A 12,797-nucleotide genomic window follows, 5' to 3' on the forward strand; every position below is an offset into this window, starting at 1 on the left:
TCCTTCCTCCCTGGCTCAAAACCCTGCTTATTCTAGTGCCTTTCCCTACCTCACAGTTGTTTTGGGCAGAGTGGAAAAGATACTGAATTAGATGCTGCAGCAGTTTAAAATCAAGCAGTGAGGTCTGTCCCTGCAATCGGCTCACCACAAACACCACCACCATCAAAAAGGCTTTCCAAAGGGCCTGAGGGCGGGGCACTGGGTGTGAGGTGCAGGCTCCACTACCTGGTAGCTTAGGATCAAGAGGGATGACCCTGACACATCAACCCACACTATGTTCTTTCTCAGGAGTCTCTGGCTTTTAACTAGGGGCAAGAAACTAATTCAAATGAATGAGAGGGGTCCTTGGGGTGTCTTGGCCCTGGAGTTATTTCATGTCAACTGGCCCAATTGGCAGAGATGGGACAAGGAAAGATGCCTAACATATAAACAGGTGGTGACTATGGTTGGTAGAAAAGGCATAGACTTTGGTGTCAGCTCTTGACACCTGAGCTTAAATGTTGGCTCTTGCAACATAGTAGAGGCACTTGGGGTAAGTTACTTGTTTGCTATTGCTCTTGCAGAGGAAGTAAGTTAGGCCTGTCCCCATCTGCACCAGGGAACTCAGTGTAGGGGCAGCGCATGGGGTAAGGGCTGGAGTCTGGGTAAGGGCTCAGGCAAAGAGGTGAAGGGAGAGAGCAGAAGCCTGTTTTTTCTCACAGGTGGGTGCCCTGGGAAGTCTCCCTTCAGGGTCTGTAGGAGTTTCAGGCAGATCTTGCAGGTGCCTCTGAGGGATCAGTAGGGGAGCTTGGGTCTGTGCCGGCCCAGCAGCCTGGGGCTTAGCAGCTAAGTTCTTAGGATACACCATCAAGAAGGGGTCCCTGAGCAAGTGGCCAGATGTTTGGATCCTAGGGCAGGTGACCGCAGGGATTAAGAACAGGCGGATGCAGGTGAGTTCCTTAGGCCCATGTCAACTCTTGCCCTGCTCCAGGCCCCAAGGCCAGGTGAGGAGACTCTCTAGGGCCTGTTTCTTTATCCTTCTAGCGAGATGATGACTGTCGTACCTCACTCACCTGGTGCCCACTGGGACCCACAGAGATGATGCCAGTCCTCATGAAAGGACTTAGAAAAGTCAAATCTGCCAAACAAACTTAGAGAGTTGTCTCACAATATTGGCCTCTCTGGTCATTTCCACTATCATGTACTTTTCCCCCCAGACACTGTCTGTCGTGCCTGTTCCAGGCTGGATCATCTCAGGGCCTTCTGGGGTTCCTGCCAGGTCTCACCTGCCGGGAAGCAGAGCCGGGTTCTAGCCACCTGGGCTGAACACTAGCCCTGTGTTATGTTGCAATGGAGAGGACACAGGGAGGAGCCATTGGATCCTGGATGCTGGGGAGTTGGACCACTCGAGGCCTGCTTCTGTAGTGCTTTAGCGAGGGGAGGGCCGGGCATGTGCCTGGAGGACCTTCGGTAAGTGGGGAAGTGAGAGAGGGAGCCGCTCCAGGCCTGGGGTGGCTGATAGCCTTTCTGTTTATAAGGGACACATGACATGCTTGATCTGTACCTGCTATCCTTCCCCAACCCTTGCCTGTCACACACGTGCATGTGTGAATGTAACACTTACTGCCTAAAGGAGTCTGTGGAAGGTTTGGGTTCTCAGCTTTCTCATGTAAAGAATATCCTGGGCCTCTCAGAACTTGGAGGCCCAGATCTGGCCCCTGGGGACCCAAGCCTGGTGTGGACACCAGGAAGGCCCCCCCAGGGCCTCTCTGATCCTCACAGCTCTCCATGGGCCCTGGGAACCCATTGGAAACCCCCTCAGCTGAGATATGAACAAAGGATTGGCTGGGTGTGTATGTTTGGAATAAAGCTGACCAGGAATCCTGACTCTTGCTAAGTTTTCTACCTGGCGGTTCGTGGGGTGCAGAACGGAGGATGACACAGATCTGCGGCACTTACTGAGAGTGTGCTGTATGCTGGCCACTGTTCCGCCTCCCGCTGGGTAAATATACATTTCATCCTCACCAAAACCCCGTGAGGCTGGAACTCTTCCTCTCCCCATTTTACAGATGAGGAAACTGAGGTACCAAGAGATTAAGTGGCTGCCCTGTAGCACACAGCTGCCTGGGTGGAGGAGCTGAGTTTCAAACCTAGGCAGTCTGGCTCCAAAGCCCCAGTTCTCAATATCTTTAAGGTGGTCACGTCACTGTCAGGCCCCTTCACTGTGTCTGGGCACATTGCTTCACTTGCTTTGAGTGTCAGCGATTGGGGTGAACGGGGGCCTTTGGAATGCCACTCCCTCATTTGTGCATCACCTGCAGTGGAGTTACCTGTCAGAGGCCTTGCAGTGCCCCTGGAGGTGTGCAGTGGGGAACAGAGCGGCCAGTGCAGGGCTGGAGGGGGGCTGCCTCGCCGGGTCAAGGGACAGCCCCATGTGGGAGCCCTGTGCCCTCAAGTTGTAACTTATGGGTCCCCTACTTGGCAAAACTGGGATTTCATTCCTGCTTCTTGCCATAACCAAACTGGTCCCGTGCTTTTTTTAGATCTAGTGGAGATAAATTATCCTTTGGGGAGAAAGTGTAGGGGACAAGACAAAAAGTCAAGGACAAAGCTTGTGACCCCTGCAGCTGGGCACGTAGCAGGCCCAGCATATTCCACAGAGGCTCTCTTATTCCACAGATATTTCATTGACCATCTAGTGTGTGCCAAGTCCTGTCACAAGATTTTAATGAGTATTCACTGAATGAGAATTCAGGCCTTGGAAATATGCCTGAGCCTATTCTCTTCCGGGACAGACTACACCTTCCCTTGGGGGCATTCATTCATCTGCTCCCCTGAGAGCACTGCTTGCGAGCCCTTTGCAGTCTCTCCTGGTTGAGACCTTCTCTCCAAACTCAGACGACCTCTGCCCCTTTCATCTCTAGTGGTTCTGAGTACCCAGGACTCTGATCTTGGGACCTGCCTCTCCCCTGTGAGTGACTGAGTGGCAGAGGCGAGCAGGGTTGTAACTTCCAGGAACCCCCACTAAACTCCTTCTTCCTCCCCTACTCCATGCCACTCCCTGTCCTGTGTTCTCCAAGGGCTGCTGAAACATTGTCCCCAAGCAGGAGTTTCCACCTGATTTATCCCAAAAGAAAACTGTTACCTTGCATCACGAAGAAGCATGGTTTGTGATGAATAACTTGCCTTGGGTTCTATTGGAAAAAAGAATAAAAAAGCAATATTGGCAAAAAAGCATCTTTCTTTCTATTTAAAAATACGTTGTTAAGTACGTGGAGAGGGCCCTAGTTATAGAAATTTTCTATTTTTACTTTTCTTTAGTATTGTCTCTTAATGGTTTCCTTTAAAAATTACTGGGTTGAAATTTTATAAAATTAGTGAGAACTCAAGAAGATACTTTTCAGGCAATCATGGATTTTGGAAATTCGAGTTTGCTTTGCTTATCTCTATGGTTATCCCAGAAGCCTACTTCTGTATTGGGATGAAGGACATCGGTCCAGCAGAGGTGACTGAGGTGCAGGGGATATATGTATTTTAAGGATTATTTTTAATTTTAAAGGACCTGCTTGTGTCACGTAATCACCTGATTGTTTGCCTTGAATGATATGGCATAAAGAATTTCTTGTAGACTTGGGATAAATTATGCCAACAATTCTGATAATACAAAATGGCAACAGGGGAAGCAGTAGAGAAACGAGAACCAGAACATTTGAATTGGAAAGGGAAATGTGAACACTTCCACTTATCCGTAGCTTACCCATGCAAGAAAATATTATTGAGGAACATCCCTTGGCTATTAAAATGATGTCTCGGCTGGGTGAGGTGGCTCATGCCTGTAATCCCAGCACTGTGGGAGGCTGAGGCGGGCGGATCACAAGGTCAGGAGATCGAGACCATCCTGGCTAATGTGGTGAAACGCTGTCTCTACTAAAAATACAAAAAATTAGCTGGATGTAGTGGCAGGCGCCTGTAGTCCCAGCTACTCGGGAGGCTGAGTCAGGAGAATGGCGTGAACCCAGGAGGCGGAGCTTGCACTGAGCCAAGATGGCACCACTGCACTCCAGCCTGGGCGACAGAGCAAGACTCCATCTCAAAAACATAAAATAAATAAAAATAAAATGATGTCTCTAAAAATTAAGCAACATGGGCAAATGGTGAAGTTATAATACTAAGTTACAAAAGTAAAGTACTAACTTGTATAGACAGCATGTTTAAAACAGTAAAAACCAAACCACACAACAAGGACCATCACTACCAAAAATGCAAACAATGGCGGCAGAGAGACAGAATACAAATCACTTATGTGTGAATTAGCTTTATTTATATTTGAATGTTCGTGGGTTGGGGGATGTCTTTCTACTTTTTACTGTTCAAATTTTTCATTTTTTAAAAAAAGGAACAAGAAGATATTCGTTTTTTGATGTCACTTTTCTAAAATTAAAATAGGTGCACAACTTATTAAAAAGCAGAAACAAAGCATGAAAGGAGGAAGGAAGGGAGGAAAGGAGGAGAAGCGACTAGAAGAGGAGAGAAAGTTTGGGAGCCTGTCCTGGCCCTTCTAATGATTTTCTGTGACTTTGGAGTAGTCACATGCCCTCTTTCTAGCTCCAAGTTGCTCATCTGTGAAATGGGCAGGAAGAGATAATGGTTGGGACAATTAAAGGAGATACAGATTGTGAAATAGACAATATGTACCCTATGCCATCAGACTATGTTCCCTAACTTTCGCTGGGACAAGACACGTGCAGAAAATGATTCTGTTCTTTTGGGAGCACATTGGAGGCAGAAGAAACCAGCTCTGGGGCTCAGCGTTCCCCCACCCACCAGTGGCTGACTCAAGGTCACAGAGGTGAACTTCCTTTCATGAAAAGTTGGCTGGCTTTCTCATCTCTGCCTTGTTAGTATCTCTTGCACCTTTCTTCTGAAATTTCCAGAATTGCTAGGTTCCCTGTTGGAAATGGTAGTTGGGACACCAACTCTCAACTGGAAATGGCAACTGAATTACAGCATTTAGGCCAGACGGCATTTGGAGCTGCCGAGGAGGATCTAGCAGGGTAAAGAAAATAAAATTCGATGCACTATGTATATCAAAAGATTAGGCAAAAACATGATGAATCAAAATCAATGTATTGTGACATCTCTATAGCATTATTTGCCACAGGGCAGAATTTATCATTAGGAATGTCTTGGGTACTAAAAAAACTAAAAGGGGGTCTCATTATGGGGTGGTTTCACTCTACAGCATGTTCTGTGGCAGCAGGAGAGCAATGTAGCCTGGAGGCTCCTCTACTGCCTTTCTTCTTGTAAGATTAGAAGAGTATTTTATACCTTACAATTGTGTGGTACAGGGGAGTTTCAAAGCAGTTTCAGGTATGTTACTTCATTTACTTATTACAACCCACTGTGAGAAAGGTGTTTTTGCACATGGGGAAACTGAAACCTAGAGATGGTAAGTGACATGCCCAAGGTCTAGACTCCACCGTGTGCTGGGTTTTCTGACTTGGACACCACAGCACTCACACCCATGTTGTGCATCCAAAATCTGAACTCCCCCAGCAGGCCAGTCAGATGCGACCAACCAATTATTCACTGGCAATTGATGCTGCATTTATATTCAAGTTGCTCACCCAATTTTACTGGATTTCCCCATAAACTTTGGGGGGAATCAACCCTTTAAGGAAGAGAGGTGGGTGGGGGTTGTTAGTCTGATGTAACCTGATTTGTCCAGGGCTATGGGAATCTCTGAAGTTGACCGCTATAGGGTAGATGAGTGGAGGGTGCAGATCCCTCCCACAGCCTGTTTCATTGTGTCTCATCTTTTGGTTATGTCCATTTCACAAAGCAGGTAATGTGGCTAGGGGTGTGTGGCCAGGCACAAGTCAATGGCAAGGGAATAATAATACATCATGTAATATAATAATACTTATAATGGCTAACACTTGCTTAGGCCTAAAATGCTATGTGTCTGGCATATTTCTTAATGATTTACCCAATTAAATCCCTTTAATCCTCCCACACATCCTATGAGGTAGGTCTAATGCTGTTCCTATTTACAATGAAGACAACCAAGACATGGAGAGGTTAAGTCACTTGCCCAAGCTCATGCAACTAGTGAAAGGGAGAGAGCTGGCATTCAAACCTAGGCAGTCAAGCTCCTGAGAGAAAGGAAAATGTGCTCTTCATGACAGACTCCTACCTGCTATTAAGTAGATAAATAAATGACACTCAGGCACCCCCTTCACTCTCTGCTCCTGTGGCAGACATCACTAGTTGCTCACAGCACTCTTTGCTGCTGAGCCCAGACAATCCCTCAAAATTCTTCTCAACATAGTTTTCCACTACTAACCTCAAGTAGTTAATGCATCAGCATGAGAGATAAGCCCATTTGTCATATCTAGGGCTCATTTTATAGATGCCAATTAATGGATAAGGTTAAAAAAATTTGTGTGCACCCATGTATATGTGAGTGTGACTGGCTCTAGTTAGTGAATATGATCACTTGATTCAATTTACATGTACTGAGCATCTGCTATAGGTGAGGAAGGCACTCTTGTTAGTCACTGAGGTTCAACACGAGGGTAAACAAAGTTATATCTTAAGGGTATTAGGAGACTATTCTACATAAAAACATTGATATATTTTTTTGAAAAGTTAAGAAATTTCTTATACATTTTTTCTTAACCTGTTTTGTACAATCTATCTTGAAACCCTAGAATTTCATAGACCAAGACATTCTTTCATGAGCCTTGAAAGGCATTTCAGCATCTCCCTAGTGTTTTTTCAGTGCCTCTCCAATTTTTGTTAGCAGGACATTTATTTTCAAAGTGTTTGCTTTATACACAGTTCCATTCGCTTGACAGCATTGTATTTGTCCTACTCTAGTGGGTAATATATTTTCAAAGATCCAGCACATAGAGGGGACATGTTAAGAATGCTTGATTCATACCGTGCAAGAGAAAAAGCCCTGAATGCTATTTTTCAGTATTAGAATTACATTTGATACTTGAACAGCAGGGATATTAGGATTCCAAGAGAGAGCTTAATGGTAGGCATACAGAAAAGAGAGTTTCCCAGCAGTAGTGGAATTACCTCTCCAATGCAACAACTAAATTTCCAGGAAGGGAGTAGGAATCAAGGATGGTACATCTGATTTGATGGAGAGGGACATAAAGGTAAAATGTCTGTGTGGCTGCTGAGAATGCCCAGCTTTTAGGATGTAGGTTGTGTGTAATCAGATTTTTAGGAATGCAAAAATTCAGGCTGCCTAGGATGCTTGTAGTTGGTAGCAGAACCGGATCCAGAAAAATAGTTTAGTTCTACTTATAGGCCAGCATGAAGATGATGTAGGTGACCTGAACCTTTACATTTCTGTACCTAGTTGAATATGGCCATGCAGTCACGACATCAAGAGAAGACACTGCAGGGGCATATGAGCAAAAGCACATTAGTCACTGCTAGCAAACAGCACAAGGAGGCTGCTGCCAAATAATAAAACCCAACATGAGGAAGTACTGCCAGTTGCTGAAACAGTGTTGGAAAAATTTAGCCCTTGGATGAGAAAAATCACTCCAAAGTCAAATACTTACCCACAGACTAAAATGATTCCTTTAAGGGGGCCGAATGGGTATCCTGAGAAGCATACCAGTGTCTGTTGACCTAGCAACAGAGTGTAGGAATGTATTCCAGGAAATAGAGATCTCTGATAAAGCAGTTCACCAAAATGCCATTTTTAAAAAGTAACAAAAAATTGGAAGCAATAAATGGTCAGTAATAGGAGATTGATTAAAAATATTATAGCTTATCAACACAACACAATGTGATGCAGTCATTAAAATGATTTGTAGAAAGCTTAATAGCATATTGAATGTATATAATATTAAATGATATTCATATAAGTATACAGTGTTTATATAAATATATAAATAAGTGTATCTTTAAAAGCAGGTTACAAACACAATATAAAGCATGATCCTTTTATAAAAGAGGTGTGTGTGTATGTGTATATATATGTGTATATAAATATATGTGTGTGTGTATATATATAAAATAAGTCTGGGGAAGATATAATCAAAAGTGTGGAAAGTGATTATCAAATCTGATAGTCAAGTGGTGGTGATTTTTGCTGTCTTCTTTTTGCTTATATATAGTTTCTTTCTTTCTTTCCTTCTTCTCTCTCTTTTTTTTTTTTTTTTTAGAGATAAGCATTCTGTTACCCAGGCTGCTCAAAATCCTGGGCTCAAGTGATCCTCCTATCTCAGCCTCTTGAGTAGCTGGGACCACAGGTGTGTGCCACCACACCCGACTAAATTTTACAATTTTTTTGTAGAGATGAGGTGTGGCTATGTTGCCCAGGCTGGTCTCAAACTTCTGGCTTCACACAATCCTCTTGCCTTGGCCTCCCAAACTGCTGGGATTGCAGGTGTGAGCCACTGCTCCTGGCCTGCTTATATATAGTTTCTAAAACATTTGCAATGAACATGTATTACTCGTGTAATATGAAAAAGGAAAGATACAAATAACAATTATTATTATAAGCAGGTGCTTTATGTTTATGAAGTCTTCCTGCCTGCTTTGTGGGTGCAGTGCTTTGGGGCAAGGCTATTGTATTATAGTTGTGAGCAGAACTTGGTCAGTAAATGAGTCTTCCTCCCTGTCAGCACCATGGATAGAGTTGACAATTTGCGCTCTGGCTCTATGTCAGGTTTGTGCTTTTTTCCTGGGCATCCTGGTAAACTAGAGTTACCATCCTTTGGGATGCCCTCCTCCAGATACTCATCCCTTTCCAGATACTCTTCTTCATCCAACCTTCTTTCCCTTTCAGATACTTTTCCTCCCATAGATGCTCTCCCTCCTCCAGATACTCACCTTTCAGATACTTTTTATACAGATTTTCTTTTCCATCCAGATTCTCTTCCTTCTCCAGAGCTTCTTCCTCCTCCAGATTCTCTTCCTTCTCCAGAGCCTTTTCCTCTTCTAGATATGATTTCTTCCCCAGATACTCCTCCTCCTCCAGATACGCTTTCTTCCCCAGATAATCTACCTCCTCAATATAATCTTCCTTCTCCAGATACCCTTCCTTCCCCAGATACTCTTCCTCCTCCAGATGCTCTTCCTTCCCCAGGTACTCTTCCTCCTCCAGATACCCTTCCTTCCCCAGATACTCTTCCTCTTCAATATACTCTTCCTCCTCCAGATACCCTGCCTTCTCCAGATACTCTTCCTCCTCCAGATGCTCTTCCTTCCCCAGATACTCTTCCTCCTTCAAGTATTCTTCTTTCCCCAGATACTCTTCCTCTTCCAGATCCTCTTCCTCCTCCAGATACTCTTTGTCCTCCAGAGACTCTCCCTCTGGAGAAAATGGAGATTCATCCTGTAGACTTTCCTCATCTAGTTCTACTTCAGTATCCTCTTTCTCTGAAGGCAAGTTCTGTGTGGAATATTGGGGAGTTGTGGGAGGGTGAGGAGGTGATGCTCCTGATAACTGATTATTTTCAGCAGACATGCTGGGGAAGTCGTAGGTGGTGAACTCCTTCTGCAGCAGCCAACGTCACTTTATTATCCTGTATCCAAGAAAGGAATAAAATCCTATTAGCCAGTAATAGCAAATGCATATTGATTTAATTCCATTTTTGTTCACTTATTTCATTCAGTAGTCTTTGGAGGGCTCTTTAAGTATGCAGATCAGTACATAGAGGCCAGTGAAAAAGGCACAAGAAGAGGGAATGGAAGCTTACCCTCAGAGAGCTGGGTGGGGAGACCACACCTAAAGACCAGGCCTTTGAAATTATTGCACAATATGAAGTCAATGGGGAGGGCTGGAAAGCAATCATTGTTTAGTGGTGCTACTGCTAGAGAAGATTTTTATTTTTCCTTAAGTATTTATTACCACAATAAATAAGACAGAGACTGTCTTCCAGGAGCTTGAAATCTGGGGAGAAAGGAGTCACAAAAAACAGATTACTAAACACAAGTGACCAACACAATGGAAGGGGCTCCCACAGCATAGGACGGACACAGTGGCTGGGGCTTCTGGTCAGTTAAGGCCCCTGTGGTCAGAAGTCTGTGGGTCATGTCCTCATGGCTACCACATGCACTGTCAGCCCTGCCCGCAGCACCATCTGCCCTCAGCTCACCAGGCAAATGCTACATATGTTTTAACACTGAGCATCTTGACTCCTCCAGGAAGGCTTCCAGGCTCCCTCTTCTGCTCCATCCATGTCCTCTATATTTTTTTTATTAAAGTAACTATTTTGCTATATTAAATTGTTTGCACGTTTGTTCTTCCAACAGTATAAGCTCCTTAAAGATGGGTGGGGTCAGTGTTATTCTTTTTTGAAAATAGATTTTGAATTCTTCCACTCCTCCTCCTCTCCACTGTGGCCCACTGTGATTCCCCATGGTGAACATGCCATCTCTAGACTGAATTACTGGGTTTCCTGAGACCCCTGCCACTGCTCTGCTAGTCATTTGCTGCAAAGAGTGTTCTTATAAAAATATAAATCAAATCAGGATTTCCTTTGCTTAAAATCTCCCAGTGGCTTTCTGTTGTGCTTAGAATATGATGTCACCTCCGTTCCATGCCTGCCTGTCTTTCTGGCCTTATCTATCCCCATCCTTCCTTCCCTGCCCCCACCCTGTTACTCTCTCCTACAGCACTTATCATTGTGTCTACTTATGTGTCCATTTCTGTGTGTTCTTGTTCAATTTTTTTCTTCCATTAGGTGTAAATGTCTCAATGATAGTGACCTTCTATAATCTGTTCCCCACCGTATCTCTGATGGTTAGCTCGGAGCCTGGTGCATAATAGATGTTCAATAAACATATGGCCAGTGACTGAATGAAGGGCCAAGAAGAGGTGGCTCTACAGCAGTGCACCCTGAAGGTTTAAAAATGACATTTATTCTGCAGGACAGGACAGACTGAAGAGGCAACCGGACCAGAATCCTTCTGCTTGCTTTGGGGACTTAAGAGATACATATCTTGGCCTGCCTCTTTCTGGCTGTCTGAGTGGGAAACTCTGTTCTGGGGAACCAGCCAGATGAGACCACCAGGATGAATTTTAGCAAATGCAGCATGAGTCCAAGATGAGAGGTGTGATGGACAAGGCCATTCATCATGGGCAAATGGCACATTTACCCACCCACATCACTGTTGGAGCCCTTGGATTGCTGGATTCCAATAGGGTTAGCCTGGGGCAGTGAACACAGAAGTACACTGCCCAGATCCCCTTTTCAAAGAAGGACTTGCCGCCCAGCGGTGAGGAGTGTGGTCAACAGGTGGCCCCCAGCTGCCAGCTCCTTCAGGATGTGTCTCAGCTGCAGAGTCCCTTTCTGATAGTGATGTCATTCTTGGGACAGCCGGTATCTGAGGACCAGGCAAGGTGGAGATAGAAAAGCACAGTCAACTCCAGGCAGCGCACCTCTGAGAGGCTACATTCACCCCAGAGCTCTCTAGCAGGCTGACCAAGGCTCACCAAGCCTACTCCACAAGTGCCATCTCCATCTGGCCCAAGCCTGCTTCCTCTCCCTTTTTCCTCCAGGGGCTGACCCCAAGAAACGTTTTGTATCTCAACAGTTGCATCTCAGCAGTTTGCATTTTAGAGTCTATTTCCAGAGAACCTACCTTGTGATAGCTTCACCAAATGTAAATCTGGGAAATAATTGACTGAAAGAGTTGGTGGAGAGAAAAACAAGGCCTCACTGGTAGCCTGATCACTTAAGAGGTCAGTGGCTGAGGGTAGGGAGTAACCGGATCTGCCTGGGGCAGGGAAAGTTGGCCGTGTGGAGAGATGACAAAGATGGTAGCAGTAAAGGGGGAGCCTGTGCGTGGAGAGTTTTAAAACCCATCATGAAGCATTTTGTGTTGGGTGGCATCAAAAGAGAAAACTGCAACAAATTTAGTTATTAATTGAATTGGTTTTTATTCATGATTCATGAATAGAACCATTCTACAAACAGAATGAGAGCTCCCATCAGGCAGTAGCAAAACAGCGGGCTCTGTGAGATGGGAACACAGAAACAGAGCAAACAAAAAAAAGTGTATTGGCTAACCTTAGGTTACTTCAGGTTACTTTTTTTGGTAAGGGTTAAAGCAGAGAGAGGACTTACTTATTATTCTCACTCAGGTAGACTGGAATCTCCTGTTTTCAGGAAAAAGTGTGCTGTTTTGGGATCTGTTTCCTTACAGTTTCAGTTTGATTATATGGCACTTAGCATGAGTGACTCCATTCTGATTTGGTCTTGTCTACTGGGACCTAGTGCAGGAGCCAAGTCCAAAATGATGGCTTTCCATAAGTTTTGCTTCACAGTGGTGACGGTGAAAGTGTTAGGATTAAAGCAACTCTGGAGCAAGAGGATTCCCGTGGCCATTTGCCAGACAGTTAAGAAGCAGCGGAGAATGGAAGCTGTGCCTGCAGTTGGCTTGCCCTTTTATCCTTCATTTTATGGTTCTGTGGTATATGAATGTCTTTTCATGTAGGCTGCCTCCAGTGCTTTTTGGAGGAGGAGAGGTATAAATAATACATGAGTTGATGGTGGAGGACACTGTCTTTGGGGCAAAGGGTGAGCTACGGAAAGCTTTGGGACCCAACCACAGCTATGTCTGCAGACGCCTCTTCCATTGTAAAGGAGGCCCCTTCAGCTTTATTTATCTAAAACCTCAACATACCACCTATTATTGCCGTCTACTTCTAACTCCCACTGGCTGCTGCTGCCTCACCCTAAGACAGAGCTGGGATGGCTAGAGCAATTGAAGAGTGGTGACAAGAATTCTTTGCTTGACCAAACTCCAGTCAGGCTCCTGAACCTTCTCCCAGATTC

General features: G+C 44.8%; 1 protein-coding gene across 3 annotated transcripts in view, besides 1 other annotated feature; it reads right to left on the minus strand.

Moving 5' to 3' along the window:
* Nucleotides 1–12,797, minus strand: part of ERICH6B (glutamate rich 6B) — a 74,446-nt gene that overhangs the window by 46,231 nt on the left and 15,418 nt on the right. For all 3 annotated transcript variants that reach the window (NM_182542.3, XM_017020418.2, XM_011534965.3), the window contains 2 exons: nucleotides 8,845–9,539; nucleotides 3,125–3,173 (listed from right to left, as the gene is read on the minus strand). In NM_182542.3, coding sequence (NP_872348.2) covers nucleotides 3,125–3,173; nucleotides 8,845–9,481 — 686 coding nt within the window. In that variant the 5' untranslated portion in view covers nucleotides 9,482–9,539. The remainder of the gene's footprint in view (nucleotides 1–3,124; nucleotides 3,174–8,844; nucleotides 9,540–12,797) is intronic.
* Nucleotides 5,414–5,473: a silencer, noted in NCBI's record as "silent region_5318". NCBI's record gives its function as "represses an Ori minimal core promoter by ATAC-STARR-seq in GM12878 lymphoblastoid cells {active_cell/tissue: GM12878}" and the evidence as "EXISTENCE:reporter gene assay evidence [ECO:0000049][PMID:35858748]".

This window comes from Homo sapiens, chromosome 13 (genome assembly GCF_000001405.40).
Source record: "Homo sapiens chromosome 13, GRCh38.p14 Primary Assembly".
NCBI lineage: Eukaryota > Metazoa > Chordata > Mammalia > Primates > Hominidae > Homo > Homo sapiens.